This window comes from Homo sapiens, chromosome 19 (genome assembly GCF_000001405.40).
Source record: "Homo sapiens chromosome 19, GRCh38.p14 Primary Assembly".
Taxonomy (NCBI): Eukaryota; Metazoa; Chordata; class Mammalia; order Primates; family Hominidae; genus Homo; species Homo sapiens.
The window spans coordinates 12,968,836-12,989,894 of record NC_000019.10 but is presented as its reverse complement, the minus strand read 5'-3'; the positions used below and the strand labels follow the sequence as shown (position 1 = coordinate 12,989,894).

The following is a 21,059-nucleotide window of genomic DNA, read 5'->3' as shown; positions in this document are numbered from 1 at the left end:
GACCACCAGCCCCCAGGCCCCGGGCTCCTGGGCTGATGGTCCCTCATGGCCTTCCTGGTCCTTGCACCTGGCCCAGACCTAGGCTCTCATTCGCACACAAACACACCCCAGCCTTCCATATGCACACACACACCCCCAGCCTTCCATACACACACACACAACACCCAGCCTTCCATACGCACACACACAACACCCAGCCTTCCATATGCACACACACACCCCCAGCCTTTCATATGCACACACAAAACACCCAGCCTTCCATATGCACAAACGCCCATCCTTTCACATGCACACACACAACGCCCATCCTTCATCCACACACACAACACCCATCCTTCCATACGCACACACACAACACCCATCCTTCCATACGCACACATACAACACCCAGCCTTCCATACGCACACACACAACACCCATCCTTCCATTTGCACACATACAACAACCAGCCTTCCATACGCACACACACAACACCCAGCCTTCCATACGCGCACACACACCCCCCAGCCTTCCATACGCACACACACAACACCCAGCCTTCCATACGCACACACACAACACCCAACCTTCCATACGCACACACACACACCCCAGCCTTCCATACGCACACACACACCCCCCAGCCTTCCATACGCACACACACACCCCCAGCCTTCCATACGCACACACACAACACCCAGCCTTCCATACACGCGCGCACACACCCCAGCCTTCATCCACACACACAACACCCAGCCTTCCTTATGTACACACACAACACCCATCCTTCATCCACATATACACGACACCCAGCCTTCATCCACACACATATCTCTCCTACTTTTTTTTTTTTTTGAGACGGAGTCTCACTTGTCACCCGGGCTGGAGTGCAGTGGTGCGATCTTGGCTCAGTGTAAGCTCCGCCTCCCGGGTTCACACCATTCTCCTGCCTCAGCCTCCCGAGCAGCTGGGACTACAGGCGCCCACCACCACGCCCAGCTAATTTTGTTTTTGTATTTTTAGTAGAGAGGGGGTTTCACCATGTTAGCCAGGATGGTCTCAATCTCCTGATCTTGTGATCCGCCTGTCTCAGCCTCCCAAAGTGATGGGATTACAGGCGTGAGCCACTGCGCCCGGCCATCTCTCCTTCATTTTTACACACATAACACACCCTTCATTCACACCCACACAACACTCATCCTTCATTCACAAACACAAACTTGTCCTTCCATTCATACACACAGGACACCAGACTTCCAAAGGTGCACACACACACATCCTTCACACACACAGTCACGGACTCTATGACACTCAGTATCACACCAGAACACCTATTATTCATTCACACACACAACTCATCCCTCCATTCACACACAAAAACACACACAACACACATACACTTCCATTTGTATACACATACTCCTCCCATAACACCCTCCCCATGTACACGCCACACACGCACACACTTCCTTGTATTCAAACACAACTGTCACACCACATCCACACTCACACAGACAAGACACTCACTCTCACACTCACACACACATCCTCATTCAAAGTTCTTTCCCCACATTCAGCACCCCTCCTCTACACTGACAGCACCCTCCTACACACACACACACACACACACACACACACACACACACTCCCTCACTCTGCTCCCCTCCACAACTGCAATGGGAAGAATTTATGGGAAGGCAGAGGGACTGCCAGAGAGGGCAGCGCTGCCCCTCCCTCTCTCCCCCTCCCCGGGGCCCAAGTATTAGGATACACCTGGCCTTCGAGAAATCTCACGGGAGGAGGGTGCCGCCAGGGGGCTGGGCACAGCTGGCATGCCACAGCTGGAATCCCCCACATTCCTCCCTGCCAGGCTGCCCACCTGGCTGTGGCTAGCAGCAGGTGCGTTCCTACCATGCAGGTGTGTTGGGGTAGGACGAGGAGCAGGAAGCGGCAGCCAGGCCCATGGCACTACCTGGCCAGGATGCTGCGGGCAGTGTGGATGTGGGTGAGGGGAGGGCTGAAACATCTGGGCTCTGGCAGCCACATTCTGGGGCACAGAATGTGGGGCCGGGCAACGTGAGGCTCCAGGGCTGCTTGGCAACTGAGCAGGGCTCTTGGGTGAGGTGGGCAAACATCTGGCATGTAGCATAGGCAGGGAGCCAGGCCATGGGTGCTGCCAGGCTGGGAGAAAAGGGTGCTCTAGGCACCCCCAGTAGAACCTGGATATCCCCACTCCCACCAAGAGGGCCTGATGTCCCCGTACTTAGCGTGGTAGGCATGATCTGTGCTCCGGGCCTGGGGTCCTAGCCTTGAAATCACTGTCTGCCTTCCAGGGTGGTCTAGAAGCCCCTATTAGGGACTCAATTTGGGGAGTTACAGGTCGTTGCTTCTGAGGCACACCTCGAGGGACACCCACAACCACACCACACACATGTGAATGCAGACACCAGACTCTCACTATCACACTCACTCAGGGGCACCCAAACATACACAGGCACACTCAGACACACAGAAATACAGACCCTTCTCCTTCCCTCTCCCCTCCCCCCTTTTCCTCTCCTCCTCTGTTCCCACAGATAAAATCCAGAATGACACACAGACACAGGGTCACCCAGATACCATCACACACCCTTCTAGAATATCACACAGACATACAAACACACACAGTCACGCCAAAAATCCCACACAGGCCTTCCCAGAGCCACCCACAGAGTGACAGCCAGGTCATACACACAAAGACCTTCACCATCACATAGATCCCCATAGAGACCCAGACAATACACCGCGTTGCAAAGACACACACAGACGCACAGTCACATGGACTCCCAGAATCTCATGCTGAGTTACACAGGTACACACAGGCCACACTAAGTCACACAGGTTCACAAAAATCTCACACAGGACTGCATGTACCCGATGGGTCACACACGTTGATGTTCTCAAAATCATCCACAGATGTAGCACACAAAAAGTCACCAAAGGCCAGGCGCCGTGGCTCACGCCTATAATCCCAGCACCTTGGGAGGCCGAGGCGGGTGGATCGGTTGAGCCCAGGGGTTCAAGACCAGCCTGGGCAACATAGCGAGACCGTGTCTCTACAAAAAATTTATAAATTCTCCAGGCATAGAGTGTGCATCTGTGGTCCCAGCTAATCTGGTGGGAGGGTCACTTGAGTCCGGGAGGTTGAGGCTGCAGTGAGCATTCCAGCCTGGGCAACAGAGTGAGATCCTATCTCAAAAAAAGAAACAGGCCGGGCGCAGTGGCTCACACCTGTAATCCCAGCACTTTGGGAGGCTGAGATGGGTGGATCACCTGAGGTCAGGAGTTTGAGACCAGCTTAGCCAACATGGCAAAACCCCATCTCTACTAAAAATACAAAAATTAGCAGGGCATGGTGGCGCACACCTGCAATCCCAGCTATTTGGGAGGCTGAGGCAGGAGAATCACTTGAACCTGGGAGGCGGAGATTGCAGTGAGCTGAGATCGTGCCACTGCACTCCAGCCTGGGTGACAGAGTGAGACTCTGTCTTGAAAAAAAATAAAAAAGAAACAAAAAGTCACACAAAGATATCTAGATCGTGCACACACACAGGGAAACACAGACACACACTCACACTTGCCTAGGCAGCACAGCCTGGCCAGGGCCTCCTGTGGCCGTCGCTCATCTGGAGACGAAAGGGAAGGAGCTGGGGAAACGTTTCATTTGCAGCGGGCCAGCCGGAGACCCACCCGCCCTGGAAACCTGGCCCTGGCTCGTGAAAGGAGCCTCTGTGCGCTGCCGCTGGGGCCGCCAGCAATGCTCAGCCGTCCCAGGGTGTGGGTATCAGAGGGGCTGAGTCGGCCACACTGAGTTCCTGGCCAAGCCACGTATGCTGGGAACCTGGGGCCTCCAGGGCCACCCAGCCAGAGGCCAGAGTCCCCTAGACCAGAGAAGCACATCCCGCCCCACCCCCTGCTGGTCCCAGCTGCATCTAGAGGCCACTCCTCCAAACCCAGCCTATGGAGGGGAAGATGGAGGGAGGAGGTTCTGTGCCCCAGCTGGCATCAGATCTCCAGGTGTCCCAGTCTCAGGCTGACGTGCGGCCCCTGGCGAGGCAGCTGCCAATCCCATGCCAGGAGCCCCCTCACTCCAGCACCCAGCTCTCCCTGTGCAGCCTGGAAGTGAGGGTAGGACAGTCATAGCCCTTTGGTTCAGATCATCAAACACAATCACTGTCACACCTTCAACCACACAAAGATCCACGCATTCACTGCCACAGTGTCACCTGCACAGCAACACCATCACACCCTCAGCCACGCTGTCACATGAAGAACTACGGTCACACCCTTGACAATTCTGGTGACACACACCTCAGCTGCACGGTCTCACACATCCTCCCAGGAACCCCGACACTCTGACCCTCACACCACATCAACGTCACACTGGCCAGCAGAGGCACACTGATATACTCAGTCCGCATGTCCCTGCAGCTGTGCTAGCCACGTGGCCACACGGAGTCACCGCCCCACCCAGTCACAAGGAGGAAAAGCAGCTCTGACCACTGCCTCCCCAGGGTGCAGACCGCAGCTGTCCCTTGATCAAGGTTTGAACCAACCCAGTTATTCCAATAGCACAATAACACACCCTTGTTGTCACTGTGTCACAGAGCAGGCAGCCAGTAGGTACAGACCACTGGTCACAGTCACTCGAATAGCACACACTCACAGTCTCCCTGTTGCAGGTGACAGGTACACAGCTCACTCACGCTGCCACACAACGCCCACAGTCCCCAGACCAAGGAGCTACAATGCAACCGTGGGTGACAGCCTCACCACGATTACAAGGACAACCTGTCACACAACAGTCACTCTCCCAGTGCCTGTCACAACATTGAGACAGCCCCTTAGCCGTCCACACAAGCAGCCAGGCATGCTGACTGGGCCCCCACGATTGTCCCTAGGACACCCCCGCCCCCGAGTCTTGGAAACAGGGACAGACACACGCCGACACCCCCCCTCCCCTTTGCAGTCAGTACAGGAAGAGCAGGGAGGGGGACTAATGGACACGCAGCTGTTGGCAGTGGGTGCCAGCCCCCCCACCTCATGAATATTCATCAGCTGGGGCTCTCCTGAACCTGTGGGGAGTCGGAGGTCCCAGGCAGCTGGTCACCCCCTTCCGTGCCAGGAGGCCCCCAGGTGGGGGAGGGAGACTTGGCCAGGTCCCCGAAGTCCTCAGAACCCACACCCAGTTCCACACAGAAGCACACGTGAGTTTGTGAACACAGGCCCCGTGACACGCAAACAACATTCACACAAACTCACAATCACACCCAACAACACAGCCATCCACCATCACAGACACACATACACCCATACACACACTCACCAGGCATGCAAACACAGCCACACACACCACATCCAAACCATAGACACCCACCACACACACACACACACACACCAGACATGCAAACATGGTGCACAGTCACATGAACTCACAACCATACGACCACACCCAAACCACAGACACCCATCATACACATACACACACCAGACATTCAGACATGGGGTTCAGTTACATGAACTCACAACCACACCCAAATTATAGACACCCACCACACACACACACACACACACACACCCCAGACATGCAAACATGGGACACATAGTTCCCCGAACCCACAACCACACCCAAACCACAGACACCCACTATACACACCACACACCAGACAGGCAAACATGGGGTGCACAATCACAGGACCACAAACACACGGACACATTATCACACACAAATGATACCGGCTAATACCATCACACACAAGTGTGCAAATACAAACACACACACTTCCAAACACATGGGCCCCAAGTCACCCCCAAATTACAACCAACCACTTCTCAACTTCTCATAAAACACCCACACAAGCGCGCAAACATGGACCCACAAATTCGCACACACATATACCCACTGACTCATGCAAACTCAGACACACAACCATCCCCAAGGAGCACCGCCGCCTTCTTCCCCTTTCTCCCTTCCTCCTTCTGTCTCTTTCACACTCCGATCTAGCTTTGCCCATCGCCCCCGTTTTACAGATGGGGAAACTGAGGCACTAAGCAGCTGAAGGCCCCTTGAAGTGGGGAAGACCGCCCCTTCTGACTCCGGGCAGAGGCTACTGCCGCGCGCCCCCTGCTGGCCTGGCCCCTCCCTGCAAGAGCGCGCGGGACGGCGGCGCGCGCGACGGGCACGCGCCTGACGTAACCATGGCATCCTCTTGGCACGCGCGGCCCGCGCGCAGGGAGGGCGGGGCGGGCGCGTTGCCATGGCGCCGGCGGCCCGCGTGAATGGGGCATTGTTCGCCGCGGCGCCCGGGCCGGGCCGTCCCGGACCCACCCGGACCCACCCGGGCCGACAGAGACGGGGAGACCGGGATGGGGAGAGACAGAGAAATGGGGAGGGAAAAAGACAGGAGAGACAGGGAGAGACCAGAGATGAGAGAGACCAGAGATGAGAGAGACGGAGATGGGGAGAGACAGAGAAATGGGGAGAGAAAAAAGAGAGACAGGGAGAGACCAGAGATGGGAGACCCAGAGATGCGGAGAGAGATGGGAAGAGATAGGGAGACCTGGTGGGGAGAGACAGAAATGGGGAGAGATGAAGACACTGGGAGGGCCGGAGAAAGCTGGAGAGATTGAGAGACAGAAGGATGGGGAAAGAAACAGATGAGAGGCCGAGCGCAGTGTAATCCCAGCACTTTAGGAGGCCGAGGCGGGCCGATCACGAGGTCAGGAGATCGAGACTATCCAGCCCAACATGATGAAATCCTGTCTCTACTAAAATACAAAAAATTAGCCGGGCATGGTGGTGCGCGCCTGTAGTCCCAGCTATTCGGGAGGCTGAAGCAGGAGAATCGCTTGAACCCGGGAGGCAGAGGTTGCACTGAGCCAAGATCTCCCCACTACACTCCAGCCTGGCGACAGAGTGAGACTCCGTCAGAAAGAAAGAAAGGAGAGAGAGAGAGAGAGACAGAGAAAGAGAGGAAAGAAAGCGAGAGAGAGAGAGAGAGAGAGAGAGAGAGAGAAAGAAAAAGAGAAAGAAAGAAAGAGATGAGAGAGATGGGGAGAGAGAAGAGATGGGGAGACATGGAGATGGAGAGACATGGGGACTGGGTATGGAGAGACAGAGATGGGGAGAGACAGAGACACAGGAAAAGCTGGAGAGACTGAGAGACAGAGAAATGAGGGGAAAAAAGATGGGAGAGACATGATGAGAGAAGAGATGCGGAGACTGAGAGATGGAGAGAGACGGGAGACTAGGCAGGGAGAGGCAGATAAGGAGACACTGGGAGAGAAAAAAAACGGGAAGAGACAGAGATAAAGGGAGAGAGGAGGCCGAGCATGGGGGTTCACACCTGTAATCCTAGCACTTTGGGAGGCCGAAGTGGGCGGATCATTTGAGGTCAGGAGTTCGAGACCAGCCTGGCCAACATGGAGAAACCCCCGTCTCTACTAAAAATACAAAAAGTAGCCGGGTGTGGTGGTACGTGCCTGTAATTCCAGCTACTCCGGAGGCTGGGGCACGAGAATTGCTTGAATGTGGGAGGTGGAGGCTGCAGTGAGCAGAGATGACGCCACTGCACTCCAGCCTGGGTGACAGAGCGAGACTCTGTCTCAAAATAAATACATAAATAAACAAGAGAAAAAAGGAGGAGAGATAGGGAGATGAGAGGGACAGGGAAAAATTAGGAGAAAAGGAGAGAGATGAAAAGAGACATAAATAGGAGAAGATTTAGGGCTGGGAAGAATGGACAAGAGGAGATGGAGTGGGAGAAATGAGACACAAAAGGGGAAAGAAGGCAGGGCACAGTGGCTCATGCCTGTAATCCCAACACTTCGGGAGGCTGAGGCAGGCAGATCACGAGGTCAGGGGTTCAAGACCAGCTTGGCCAACATGGTGAAACCCCGTCTCTACTAAAAATACAAAAATTAGATGGGTGTGGTGGTGCATGCTTGTAATCCCAGCTACTTGTGAGGCTGAGGCAGGAGAATCACTTGAACCTGGAAGGTGGAGGTTGCAGTGAGCCAAGATCACGCCACTGCACTCCAGCCTGGGCAACAGAGCGAGACTGTGTCTCAAAAAAAAAAAAAAAAAAAAAAAAAGGAGGCCGGGCGCGGTGTCTCATGACTGTAATCCCAGCACTTTGGCAGGCCAAGACGGGCGGATCACGAGGTCAGGAGATCGAGACCATGCTGGCTAACATGGTGAAACCCCGTCTCTACTAAAAATACAAAAAAATTAGCTGGGCGTGGTGAAGGGCACCTGTAGTCCCAGCTACTCGGGAGGCTGAGGCAGGAGAATGGCGTGAACCTGGGAGGTAGAGCTTGCAGTGAGCCGAGATCACACCACTGCACTCCAGCCTGGGCAACAGAGCGAGACTCCGTCTCACAAAAAAAAAGGTGGGGAAAGAGACAGAAGAGAGACAAAGACAGAGACAGAGATAGGGAAAGACATGGGGAATCCAAGAGGGAGAAACAACGGGAGAGACCTGGAAGGTGGAGAGAAACACACCAATGAGGAAGGACGGGTGGAGGGAGAAGACCACGGAGAGGCAGAGCCCGGGAGCAAGATGGGAGAGGAAGGGTTGGGGTGAGAGACGGGACAGGACCAGTCAGCCAATACCCCTGGACCCTCCTTGCCTGGTGTGCTGTGCTTAGCAATGGGAAAAATCAGGGGATGGGGGGTTGGGTGCGGTGGCTGACGCCTGTTATCCCAGCACTTTGGGAGGCCGAGGCGGGTGGATCATTTGAGGTCAGGAGTTCAAGAGTAGCCTGGCCAACATGGTGAAAACCTGTCTCTACTAAAAATAGAAAAATTAGCCGGGCAGTAGTGGTGGACGCCTGTAATCCCAGCTACTCGGGAGGCTGAGGCAGGAGAATCTCTTGAGCCTGGGAGGCAGAAGTTGCAGTGAGCCGAGATCACACCATCGCACTCCAGCCTGGGCGACAGAGTGAGACCCTGTCTCAAAAAAAATAAATAAATAAAAATAAAAAATAAAAAAAAATCAGGGGAATGGGGATAGCCAGACAAAGTCAGAAGTGCTGAGAGGTCAGAGGACACACAGCCATAGAAAGACATAGCGGCCGGGTGTGATGGCTCACACCTGTAATCCCAGCACTCTGAAAGGCCAAGGTGTGTGGAATGCTTGAGCCTAGGAGTTTGAGACCAGCCTGGACAACATGGTAAGACCTCATCTCTACAAAAAACATGTTAAGGGCTGGGCGCGATGGCTCACGCCTGTAATCCCAGCACTTTGGGAGGTCAAGGCGAGTGGATCACCTGAGGTCAGGAGTTCAAGACCAGCCTGGCCAACATGGCGAAACGCCGTATCTACTAAAACTACAAAAAATTAGCCAGGTGTGGTGGCATGCGCCTGTAATCCCAGCTACTTGGAAGGCTGAGGCAGGAGAATCGCTTGAACCTGGGAGTCGGAGGTTGTAGTGAGCCGAGATTGCACCATTGCACTCCAGCCAGCGCAACAAGAGTGAGACACTGTCTCAAAAAAAAAAGAAAAGAAAAAAAGAAAAAGAAAAAGAAAAAAGAAATTTTTTTAATTAGCCAAGCGTGGTGTCCTGCACCTGTAGTCCCAGCTACGGCTAAGGTGGGAGGATCACTTGAGCCCAGGAGTTTGAGGCTGCAGTGAGACATGATCGCACCACTGCACTCTAGCCTGGGTGACAGAGCCACACCCTGTCCCAAGGGAAAAAAAAAAAGACATAGCAAGATGGAGGGTGAGATATACCCAGATGTGAGGGAATGAAGGAGAGAAACTTGGAAACAACCCCAGCTCCCTGCTCTGAGAGTCTCTGGTCCCACCTGCCCCTTCCACTCACCCTGGTTTGGTACTCTCAGAAAGCATACCCTCTGTCCTACACACCTTCACACAGCCCCTGATAAGACACTGTTGACACAGAGGCTCAGCCTTCAGGAACACTGCTTCTTTATTTTATTTATTTATTTATTTTGAGATGGAGTCTCACTCTGTCGCCCAAGCTGGAGTGCAGTGGTGCGATCTCAGCTCACTGCAACCTCTGTCTCCTGGGTTCCATCATTCTCCTGCCTCAGCCTCCCGAGTAGCTGGGATTACAGGCACATGCCACCACATCTGGCTGATTTTTGTATTTTTGGTAGAGACCAGATTTCGCCATGTTGGCCAGGCTGGTCTCGAACTCCTGACCTCAGGTGATCTGCCCATCTCAGCCTCCCAAAGTGCTGGAATTACAGGCATGAGCCACTATGTCCAGCCATATTTATTTATTTTTGAAACAAAGTCTTGCTCTGGTACCCAGCCTGGAGTGCAGTGGCACAATCATAGCTCACTGCAGCCTTGAACTCCTGGGCTCAAGTGATCCTCCCACCTCAGCCTCCTGAGTAGCTGAGACTACAGGTGCATGCCACCATGTTCCGCTAATTTTTTAAATTTTTTGTAGAGACAGGGTCTTGCTATGTTGCCCAGGCTGGTCTTGAACTCCTAGGCTCAAATGATCCTCCCACCTTGGCCTCCCAAAGTGCTGGGACACTGCTTCTTTTTTTTTTTTTTTTTGAGACAGAGTCTCGCTCTGTCACCCAGGCTGGAGTGCAATGGCGCATGATCTCAGCTCACTACAACCTCTGCCTCCCAGGTTCAAGCGATTCTCCCACCTCAGCCTCCCTAGTAGCTGGGATTATAGGCACACACCACCATGCCTGGCTAATTTTTGTATTTTTAGTAGAGACACTGTTACACCATGTTGGCCAGGCTGGTCTTGAACTCCTGACCTAGGTGATCTGCCCGCCTCAGCCTCCCAAAGTGCTGGGATTACAGGTCCTGCACCCAGCCAGGACACTGTTTCTGACACTCCAGGACACCGTCACCCAGTGACACTTCCCCTAGATGGTCCCAGTCATACCTATGGATACCTATAGATTCCTAGTGACACAATCATAGACGCAGACACATGAATATGACATGGACACGGACTCATACAAGGGCTCCTGGTGACATCTCCCAGTTATAGACACAACCGTGTAGGTGCACTGTCTCATGAGGACCTTATCAGACATGTGAATACAGTGAGTGGTGGCCACACACCATCCAACACACAGGTTCACATTTTTGTTGTCGTTGTTGTTGTTTTGTTACATAGATGAGGGCTTGAACGCCTGGCCTCACTTTTTTTTTTTTTTTTTTTTTTTTGAGACGGAGTCTTGCTCTTGTTGCCCAGGCTGGAGTGCAGTGGCACTATCTCAGCTCACTGCAACCTTCGCCTTCTGGGTTCAAGCAATTCTCATACCTCAGCCTCCCAAGTAGCTGGGATTACAGGCACGCGCCACCACGACAGGCTAATTTTTGTATTTTTAGTAGAGACGGGGTTTCACTATGTTGGTCAGGCTGGTCTCGAACTCCTGACTTCGTGATCCGCCCGCCCGGCCTTGGGCCTCACTTTCTTATGCGCCAGGACAACAGGCCTGAGCCACCGCGCCTCCCAGGCTCACACTTCTTAGCAATGCTGTCATATGTGGCCACTCCTGATGAATGGTGCACCCTCGCCTTCACACCTGGACACGTTTTCAGACACTCATTGTCACCCTCATGGACACACATGGCTTCAACCCTGGGTCTGACCTACTCACTGGGCAGGCACCTTGTCCCACGGTACTGTTCAGAACACTGTGGGGGTGCTCAGTCCAGTTCTCCACGTTTGAGTCAGTGGGGGCTGACAGATTTCAGGTCCCAGCAGAGACTGGGATGGAAGTGGGGGAAAGTGATGTCCAGCCCCTGGTCCTCCTGAAAGGGCTGAGTCCAACTGGGCCACAGTGGTCCCAGACTCCTCCTCCAGTCGGGCAGCTTGGACCAAATGTAGACCAAGGGTGTCCCCTGGTGGCCATAGGTGGTCTCTGCACCCATCCATGGAGGGACGACAGGCAGCCGCCCAGTTGCTGAACTTGGAGCTGTGGACAGAGAGGACACAGAGCACACAGGCCCAGAGACTGAAGTCCAGAAGCAGGAACGCAGATACAGAACTAAGAGCCGGTAATCCAGATCCCAGGACCCAGGATCAGCATCTAGAGTCCAATCATACCGGGCTGGGCACGGTGGCTCATGCCTGTAATCCCAGCACTTTGGGAGGCCAAGGCAGGCAGATCACTTGAGGTCAGGGGTTCGAGACCAGCCTGACCAACATGGCGAAACCCCGTCTCTACTAAAAATATAAAAATTAGCTGGGTGTGGTAGTGGGCACCTGTAATCCCAGCTACTCAGGAGGCTGAGGCAGGAGAATCGCTTGAACCTGGGAGGCGGAGCTTGCAGTGAGCTGAGATTGCGCCACTGCCCTCCAGCCTGGGCAACAGAGTGAGACTCCATCTCAAAAAAAAAAAAAAAAGATTCCAATCATACCAAGATCTATACTCCAGATCCACGAACTCAGCCAGGCGTGGTGGCTCACAGCTATAATCTCAGCATTTTGGGAGGCCAAGGCGTGAGGATCACTTGATGCCAGGAGTTTGGGACACGATAGGCAACATAGCAAGACTTTATCTCTACAAAAAACTTAAAAATTAGCTGGGTGTAGTGGCACATGTCTGAGGTTGCAGTGAACTATGATGGTGCCACTGAAACCATACTCCGGGATTCAGATTCCAAAAATCTAGATCCTATTGCTCAAAACTAGAATCCACCAGACCCAGAATCTAGCTCCAAGAATTTAGAATCCAAAGGCTACCTTACAAAATTGAGAGCTTTCTTTCTTTTTTTTTTTTTTTTTTGAGACAAGGTCTGGCTCTATCACCCAGGCTGGAAAGCAGTGGCACAACCTTGGCTCACTGCAACCTCTGCCTCCCAGGCTCAAGCCATTCTCCCACCTCAGCCTCCTGAGTAGCTGGGGTTCCAGGTACACACCACCATGCCCAGCTAATTTTTTTTTTTTTTTTTTTTGAGATGGAGTCTTGCTTTGTCGCCCAGCCTGGAGTGCAGTGTCGCCATCTTGGCTCACTGCAACCTCCGCCTCCTGGGTTCAAGCGATTCTCCTGTCTCAGCCTCCCAAGTAGCTGGGATTACAGGCACGCGCCACCACGCCTGGCTAATTTTTATATTTTTAGTAGAGACGGGGTTTCGCCATGTTGGCCAGGCTGGTCTTGAACACCTGATCTCAGGTCATCCACCCGCCTCAGCCTCCCAAAGTACTGAGATTACAGGCATGAGTCACCACGCCCGGCGCCCAGCTAATTTTTAATATATTTTTGTGGAGACATAGTTCTGCCATTTTGGCCAGGCTGGTTGCGAACTTGTGAGCTCAATGAATCCACCTGCCTTGGCCTCCCAAAGTGCTGGGATTACAGGCGTGAGACTCCTCACCCAGCCAAAATCCAGATTCTTAAGCCGTCCTCAGAGCCCTCCAGATCACAGCCACGTAGCAGGAGTTGGCGAAGATAGAAACAAAGGGATAGCTGAGGAGCTCAGCAGTACTGCACATGGCCTCTCCCAAAGCTGATACCCCTCCCAACCTACCCCTGTGCATTTACACACACACACACACACACACACACACCCCATCAGGTTGGGTGTGGTGGCTCACGCCTATAATCCCAGCACTTTGGAAGGCCAAACCAGAAGGATGGCTTGAGCCCAGGAGTTCGAGACCAGCCTGGGCAACACAGTGAGACCCTGTCTCTACAAAAAAATAAACAAAATTAGCTGGGCGTGGTGTCATGAGCCTGTAGCCCCAGCTACTCGGGAGGCTGAGGAGGGAGGATCACTTGAGCCCAGGAGTTTGAGGCTGCAGGGATCGGGCCATGATCACTCCAGCCTGGGTGACAGGGCGAGACCCTGACTCAAATAAGAATAATAATTAATACTACTAATAAAAGAAAAAGACACACCATCATCCAAAGAGACACCCTCCTCCATACGTTCTTGTCCCAGCATGCAGATGCACGAACATCTGTGCACCCACAAAATCTCAGAGCTCCGCCCCCAGCCAGCCCACCAAACTCCTAGACACACAGCCACCATGGAGACACACACAAACCTATGATTTCCAGCCCTGCACCCGGACACACTTTAAGAATTGTGGAGACTGGGATGGGTGTGCACACACACACACATACACACACAGACATAGTCCCCTAAGAAGCTCCACGCCTGGCAGCCACGCAGCCCCTGGGAAGGGTACCCCAGGGATGGGGTTCACCGTGCAACCCCGTGCCCACCCCAGCCGTCCCCCGCCTGGCCGGCTGGCGGGCTTTAATACAGATGCCAAACTCATAATTGTAACTGAGGGTGACAGGGTCACCTTGAGCCCCAGATGCTCGTGCGGTGACAGATGGCGTTGGCAAACCTGATTAGCGGCCCCCGTGCCAGCGCCTGTGGCACCTGCATCCCCTGCCCCTCCCCCGCTCCCCCAGCACTCATTACCCACCCATTACTGGGCCTGGGGGGGCGGGGCAGGGGCCGGCTGGCACTGCCCGGGAGGGGACAGGGACTCTGGGGGCTCCCCTGGCACCAAGGTTCCCAGCTGGCTCCCCTGGCTGGCAGGAGGTGGGCACAGCAGAGGGAGGGAAGGCAAATGCCTCATGCCCACCAGAGGGGGGCTTGCCCATGGTGCCAGGGCTGAGCTGCCCACTCGGACACTGCCTGGGGTTTGGCACAGAACTCTGGAGGGAACAGGGATGGGGCAGCCCCCCCAGAGCCCTTCATGACCCTCCCCTCCAGGGCCCTTCGAGCAAGGGGCCTTGGGAGCTGCCTGCCTGTCCCGTTCCCATCTCTCTGTGAGGCCTGTGAGGTCAGGGGTCTCAGGCTCCCACGCCCCACTGGCCCATCTGTTTCCTCGGGTCCCCTCCTGCTCCCCTCACCTGAGGCCTTCCTTCCTGAGGCAGGAAGAGGGCTGAGAAGGGCCTGGCCGGCTCCCCGCCCCACGCTCCGGGGGGCATTTGGAGGCAACACTGACAACGCCACATGTCCCTGCGTCTGTGCCAGACAGGCCCATCTGCCAGGGCCCTGGTTCCAGCCGCCCAAAGCCAGGCCGCCCTCGCCCGCTGAAGACCCTGAGCCCCAGCTGGGGAGGGAGCACTCAGATGCCCACACCCTGTCATGGGGCCACCCACTCCCAGGGAACCCCAGTTGGAGGAACAAACAGATGCACATATAGACAGCTGGACTCAGCCAACCTTTATGGTTTCTGTGGAATGCCATGCCAGGCGTGGGGCTCTGTGGAGACTCAGGTGGGGGGTCTGAGAGGGACACAGCACCACTATCAAGGCAAGAGGCAGCTGGGAACACGAGGGTCCTGCCTCTGTCTCAAGGACCCCAGGATTTCCCCCAGCAGCTGTCTGCCTGCCTGCTTTGGTTTGCGTTTTTGGTTTGGGTTTTTTTTTTTTTCTTTTTTGGTGTCCCTAGGCTGAGGTCATCACTGTGTCTCTCGGTCTGGGTGGGGCCATCTACCCTCCCTGCAACTGGGAGTGTCTTTGACCTCATTCTATAAGAGACAGTTCAGCCTAATGATTAACAGTGGATTTGATCCCAGCACTTTGGGAGGCCGAGGTGGGCAGATCACCTGAGGCCAGGAGTTTGAGACCAGCCAGGCTAATATGGTGAAACTCTGTCTCTACTAAAAATACAAAAATTAGCTGGGCATGGTGGCGGGTGCCTGTAGTCCCAGCTACTCAGGAGGCTGAGGCAGGAGAACTGCTTGAGCCTGGCAAGTGGAAGTTACAGTGAGCCAAGATCGCGCCATTGCACTCCAGCCTGGGTGACAGAGAGAGACTCTGTCCTTAAAAAAAAAAAATAATAAGGCCAAGGCAGGCAGATCACGAGGTCAGGAGATAGAGACCATCCTGGCTAACACGGTGAAACCCTGTCTTTACTAAAAATACAAAAAATTAGCCGGGCGTGTTGGCGGGTGCCTGTAGTCCCAGCTACTCGGGAGGCTGAGACAGGAGAATGGCATAAACCCGGGAGGTGGAGCTTGCAGTGAGCTGAGATTGCGCCACTGCACTCCAGCCTGGGCGACAGAGCGAGACTCCATCTCAAAAAAAAAAAAAAAAAGTGAGTTGTCAATCATTGTGTGCTGTGACTATCAGTGGTGCAACTCCAGGACGGGCACTGTGTCTACTGTCTGGGGAGCAGGGTGAGGACTCTGGGGACCTGTCTGCCTAACCCTGCATCCCTGGTCTCTTGACCCAGAGTACATCATCCAGGTCCACGTCTTTCTTGGTCCATCTCCCCTCATTTCTCCAAGGTGCGTGTCTCCGTGCACCCATCCACGATGCTCAGTTCATGCTTTTGGGCTGCAGTGACACCCCTCGATCAGCATGGTGGATATCTTCACCCGTCGACGGGAGGCTGAGCTGCCAGTGAGACACCACAGGACCACGGGTGCCCAACGCTTGCGAGCAGGCATACAGCTGTTGCACAGGACTAGTGGGGTGGGGTCCGAGCCAGGGATGTAGAGAGAGGAGCAATGACCAAAGCACAGATGATTTCGGAGGCGTATGGCTGAGCAGCCGGGCCGGGAGAACACCTGGGGCCGGAGGCATGGAGACGGTCAGGGTGGCGGAGTTTGGGGCCAGAGTGGCGAGGATAATCACCTGTCCACTTCCACCCCACCTTGACAGGCATGGATGCTGCAGCCAGGCTGCCTGGGTTCAAATCCTGACTCTGCTGTCTCTTGGCTGAGACATGGGGCAAATTACTTAGCCTCTCTGAGCTTTTGTTTCCTCACCTGGAAAATCATTGAAATTCAACAAGGGCCGGGCGCGGTGGCTCACGCCTGTAATCCCAGCACTTTGGGAGGCCAAGGCGGGCGGATCACGAGGTCAGCAGATCGAGACCATCCTGGCCAACACGGTGAAACCCCGTCTCTACTAAAAATACAAAAAATGAGCCGGGCGTGGTGGTGGGCGCCTGTAGTCCCAGCTACTCGGGAGACTGAGGCAGAAGAATGGTGTGAACCCAGGAGGCGGAGCTTGTAGTGAGCCGAGATAGCGCCACTGCACTCCAGCCTGGGGACAGAGCGAGACTCCGTCTCAAAAAAAAAAAAAAAAAAAAGAAAAGAAATTCAACAAAGACAGCCAGGTGTGGTGGCTCAAGCCTGTAATCCCAGCATTTTGGGAGGCTGAGGTGGGCGGATCACTTCAGGCCAGGAGTTTGAGACCAGCTTGGCCAATATGGCGAAACCCCATCTCTACTGAAAATACAAAACTTAGCCGGGCATGGGCACCTACACCTGTAATCCCAGTTACATGGGAGGCTGAGGTGGAAGAATTGCTTGAACCTGGGAGGTGAAGGTTGCAGCAAGTTGAGATCATGATTGCACTCTAGCCTGGGTAACAGAGCGAGACTCTGTCTCCGAAATAAATAAACAAATAAATTAATTAAATGAGAAAAAGAAGAAATCACTTTAGGCCTTTCAACAAAGAGGACTAATTCAGGGAATTGGTTACCTCGGAGTTAAAAGCCAAGGGCGGGATGTGGTGGCTTGAGACCAGCCTGGGCAATATAGTAAGACCCTGTCTCTACAAAGAAATTAAAAAAAAAAAATTAGCTGAGCTAGCCAGGCACGGTGGCTCATGCCTATAATCCCAGCACTTTGGGAGGCCAACGCAGGCAGATCACGAAGTCAGGAGATCGAGACCATCCTGGCTAATATGGTGAAACCCCGTCTCTACTAAAAATACAAAAAAATTAGCCAGGCGTGGTGGTGGGCGCCTGTGGTCCCAGCTACTTGGGAGGCTGAGGCAGGAGAGTGGCGTGAACCCAGGAGGCGGAGCTTGCAGTGAGCCGAGATCCCACCACCGCACTCCAGCCTGGGCGACAGAGCGAGACTCCGTCTCAAAAAAAAAAAAAAAAAATATTAGCTGGGCTAATGCTGTGCGTCTGTAGGCCTAGCTACTCAGAAGGCTGAGGCAGGAGGATTGCTTGATCCTAGGAATTCAAATCTGCAGTGAGCTATGATCGCACCACTGTACTCCAGCCTGGGTGACAGAGTAAGACCCTGTCTCTAACAAAAAACATGAAAAGGCCGGGTGTGGTGGCTCACGCCTGTAATCCTGGCACTTTGGGAGGCTGAGGTGGGTGGATCATTTGAGGTCAGGAATTCAAGACCATCCTGGCCAACATAGTGAAACCCCGCCTCTACTAAAAATACAGAAATTAGCTGAGCATGGTGGCAGGCGCCCGTGGTCCCAGCTACTCGGGAGGCTGAGGCAGGAGAATTGCTTGAACCCGGGAGATGGAGGTGCAGTGAGCCGAGATTGCACCACTGTACTCCAGCCTAGGCGACAGAGTGAGACTCTGTCTCAAAAAACAAAAACCTGAAAAGAAAAGTAAAGAAGGCCGGGTGCAGTGGCTCATGCCTGTAATCTCAGCACTTGGGGAGGCCGAGGCAGGTGGATCATGAGGTCAGGAGTTTGAGACCAGCCTGACCAACATGGTGAAAGCCCGTCTCTACTAAAAATACAAAAATTAGCTGGGCATGGTGGCGTGTGCTTGTAAAACCAGCTACTCGGAAGGCTAAGGCAGGAGAATCGCTTGAACCCGGGAGGCGGAGGTTGCAGTGAGCTGAGATCGCGCCATTGCACTGCAGCCTGGGCAGCAGAGCGAGACTCTATCTCAAAAATAAAATAAAATAAAATAAATAATAAGAAAAGAAAAGTAAAGAAAAGCCAAGCAGGATATGATGATAAGATGGCCTGATGATGGTACCAGTAGGAAGCCAACTAGCACCCTAGGGGGAAGGGACAGCAGTATCACAGGAGCCCGGAAGCATCCAACAGAAAGCCCTTAGCCCACTGCCTGGCACAAAGTAGGTGCTCAATGCATGTTAGTTCCTCCTATGATCCCCTCCAAGTGGATCTATCATCTCTCCCCCAAATCCTGGTCCTTCTCTGCTTAAATCCTGAGCCATCTTCCTCATAAGAGACTTCTCATTGGCCTGGCGCAGTGGCTCACGCCTGTAATCCCAGCACTTGGGGGGCCGAGGCAGGCGGGTCACCTGAGGTCAGGAGTTCGAGACCAGCCTGGCCAACATGGCCAAACCACGTCTCTACAAAAAGTACAAAATTTAGCCGGACATGGTAGTGCACATCTGTAATCTCAATTACTTGGGAGGCTGAGGCACGAGAATCACTTGAGCCCAGGAAGTGGAGGTTGCAGTGAGCCGAGATTGTACTGCTGCCCTCTAGTCTGGGTGACAGAGTGAGACTGTCTCAAAAAAAGAAAGAGAGAGAGAGAAAAGAAAGAAAGAAAGGAAAGAAAGAAAGAAAGAAAGAGAAAAAAAGAAAAACAAAGAAAGAAAAGAAAGAAAGAAAGAGAAAAAGAAAGAAAGAAAGAAAAGAAAGAAAGTTGGTATATCAAGCAAGAGACGGGCTCACACCTAGAACTCAGGAGGCTGAGGTGGGAGGATTGCTTGAGGCCAGAAGCTCAAGACTAGCTTGGGCAACATAGCGAGACTCCCGTGTCTAAAAAAACAGAAAGAAAGTTGGTGTCTGAGGAAAAGGAGGCTGATGTGTAGAAGCAAAGTAACTGAGGGGGAGAGTGGGAGGAGGTGAAATCAGGGAGGTAACAGGATCAGAGAGTACAGAAATTTGTGGGCTGTGAAGAGGACTTGGGCTTTTGTTCTGAGTAAAGTGGGAGCCATGCAAGGTTCTAGGGGGAGGGGGAACCAGATCTGACTCTGGTGTTCACAGGCACCCTCTGGCTGCTGAGTGGAAAAATAGACTGGGGGGTGGAGAGGGGCATGATAGTGGAATCAAGGAGACCAGGATAGAGGAGGCTTGGGTCGCATTTTACAAGGGAGGAAACTGAGGCACCGAGACATTCAGGTGGAGGATACAGGACTTGAACCCAAATCTTTCTTGGGCCACAGCCTGTGCCTTCTGCCAATGGTGAGACCCAGCCCTCTCCTCCCCACACCCACCCACTCACCTGAACGAAGGGCACAGCCTTACACATCCCCTGGATCACTTCCTGAGGGTTCAGCGGCAGAGTCACAGCAGCCACCTCGTCTTGCCCACGCTGCAGCCTGCCCATCCCCAGCTGCCTGGCTTTCTGCAGGCCCAAGAAGGCCTTCCAGCTCCCAAGGGCAGAAGCTGGCACCAGTGGGGGCAGGGCCCCTGGGCCCAGAGCCCAGGTCTGATTGGCTGCAGCCCAGGACTGAGGTCGAGGAGACTGGGGTTCAGGCCTCCCTGAGCCTGTAGGCAGGGCCCCGCTAAGCAGGCACAGAAGAGTGGATAGCTGGCCAAGGAGCATCTGCTTGTCCGTGCGTCTGTCTGCCTGTCTGTCTGTCCGGACTGGGCTCAAGGTCACTAGCAGTCGACCCTGCTGTCTGGTGAGTGGCATCTGAGCCTTCTGAACCTGCTTTTAATCTCTTGGCCCCTCCTGGATAGCCTGGGAGGCATTTCTGTAGACCCACAGCGGGGGAGGAGAGTAAATTCAGACCAGCTGGGTTCCCACACCTCCTCCCAACTTGCTGAGAGACATGGGGGCTGGTCCTGCTGTGTGCGAGCTGTGGGGACCAGGAAAGACAGGTCTGGGGCCAGGGGCCGAGACACACAATGTCTGAAGACCCTGGGCAGCTGCATTTCCAGTCCTGGGACCCCGATTCTCCAATTAGCAAAAGCACACTTTGGGTGAGGCTCAGTGGCTCACACCTGTAATCCCAGCACTTTGGGAGGCCGAGACGGGAGGATCACCTGACGTCAGGAATTCAAGACCAGCCTGGTCAACATGGTGAGACCTCATCTCTACTTTAAAAATACAAAAATTGGCCAGGCACGGTGGCTCACGCCTGTAATCCCAGCACTTTGGGAGGCTGAGGTGGGCAGATCACGAGGTCCGGAGATTGAGACCATCCTGGCTAACATGGTGAAACCCCATCTCTACTAAACATACAAAAAATTAGCCGGGCGTGGTGGTGGGCGCCCGTAGTCCCAGCTACTCGGGAGGCTGAGGCAGGAGAATGGCCTGAACCCAGAAGGCGGAGCTTGCAGTGAGCGGAGATCACGCCACTGCACTCCAACCTGGGCAATAGACCGAGACTCCGTCTCAAAAAAAAAAAAAAAATTCGCCAGTTGA

General features: G+C 53.9%; 1 protein-coding gene across 1 annotated transcript, besides 5 other annotated features; it reads right to left on the bottom strand.

Annotated features, from left to right (window-relative positions):
- Positions 4,957 to 5,482: an enhancer, noted in NCBI's record as "H3K4me1 hESC enhancer chr19:13095227-13095752 (GRCh37/hg19 assembly coordinates)". NCBI's record gives its function as "activates a minimal SCP1, AML or CMV promoter by ChIP-STARR-seq in primed H9 embryonic stem cells {active_cell/tissue: H9 hESC(primed)}" and the evidence as "EXISTENCE:reporter gene assay evidence [ECO:0000049][PMID:30033119]".
- Positions 6,060 to 6,309: a silencer, noted in NCBI's record as "silent region_10187". NCBI's record gives its function as "represses an Ori minimal core promoter by ATAC-STARR-seq in GM12878 lymphoblastoid cells {active_cell/tissue: GM12878}" and the evidence as "EXISTENCE:reporter gene assay evidence [ECO:0000049][PMID:35858748]".
- Positions 14,957 to 15,463: an enhancer, noted in NCBI's record as "H3K27ac-H3K4me1 hESC enhancer chr19:13085246-13085752 (GRCh37/hg19 assembly coordinates)". NCBI's record gives its function as "activates a minimal SCP1, AML or CMV promoter by ChIP-STARR-seq in primed H9 embryonic stem cells {active_cell/tissue: H9 hESC(primed)}" and the evidence as "EXISTENCE:reporter gene assay evidence [ECO:0000049][PMID:30033119]".
- On the bottom strand, positions 15,135 to 20,319 carry DAND5 (DAN domain BMP antagonist family member 5). Its single transcript, NM_152654.3, has 2 exons — positions 19,911 to 20,319; positions 15,135 to 16,506 (listed from the first exon to the last, which is right to left on the bottom strand). Exons 1-2 carry the CDS (start codon positions 20,232 to 20,234, stop codon positions 16,261 to 16,263), a joined length of 570 nt encoding a protein of 189 aa, NP_689867.1. The 5' UTR covers positions 20,235 to 20,319; the 3' UTR covers positions 15,135 to 16,260.
- Positions 19,567 to 20,169: an enhancer, noted in NCBI's record as "H3K27ac-H3K4me1 hESC enhancer chr19:13080540-13081142 (GRCh37/hg19 assembly coordinates)". NCBI's record gives its function as "activates a minimal SCP1, AML or CMV promoter by ChIP-STARR-seq in naive H9 embryonic stem cells {active_cell/tissue: H9 hESC(naive)}" and the evidence as "EXISTENCE:reporter gene assay evidence [ECO:0000049][PMID:30033119]".
- Positions 20,170 to 20,773: an enhancer, noted in NCBI's record as "H3K27ac-H3K4me1 hESC enhancer chr19:13079936-13080539 (GRCh37/hg19 assembly coordinates)". NCBI's record gives its function as "activates a minimal SCP1, AML or CMV promoter by ChIP-STARR-seq in naive and primed H9 embryonic stem cells {active_cell/tissue: H9 hESC(naive and primed)}" and the evidence as "EXISTENCE:reporter gene assay evidence [ECO:0000049][PMID:30033119]".

Coding starts and splice junctions, on each gene's coding strand:
- DAND5 (NM_152654.3), bottom strand. CDS start 20,234: ATGCTCCTTGGCCAGCTATCCACTCTTCTGTGCCTGCTTAGCGGGGCC. Junction 16,507..19,910: donor AGGCTGTGCCCTTCGTTCAG/GTGAGTGGGTGG, acceptor CTCCGGCCCCAG/GTGTTCTCCCGGCCCGGCTG.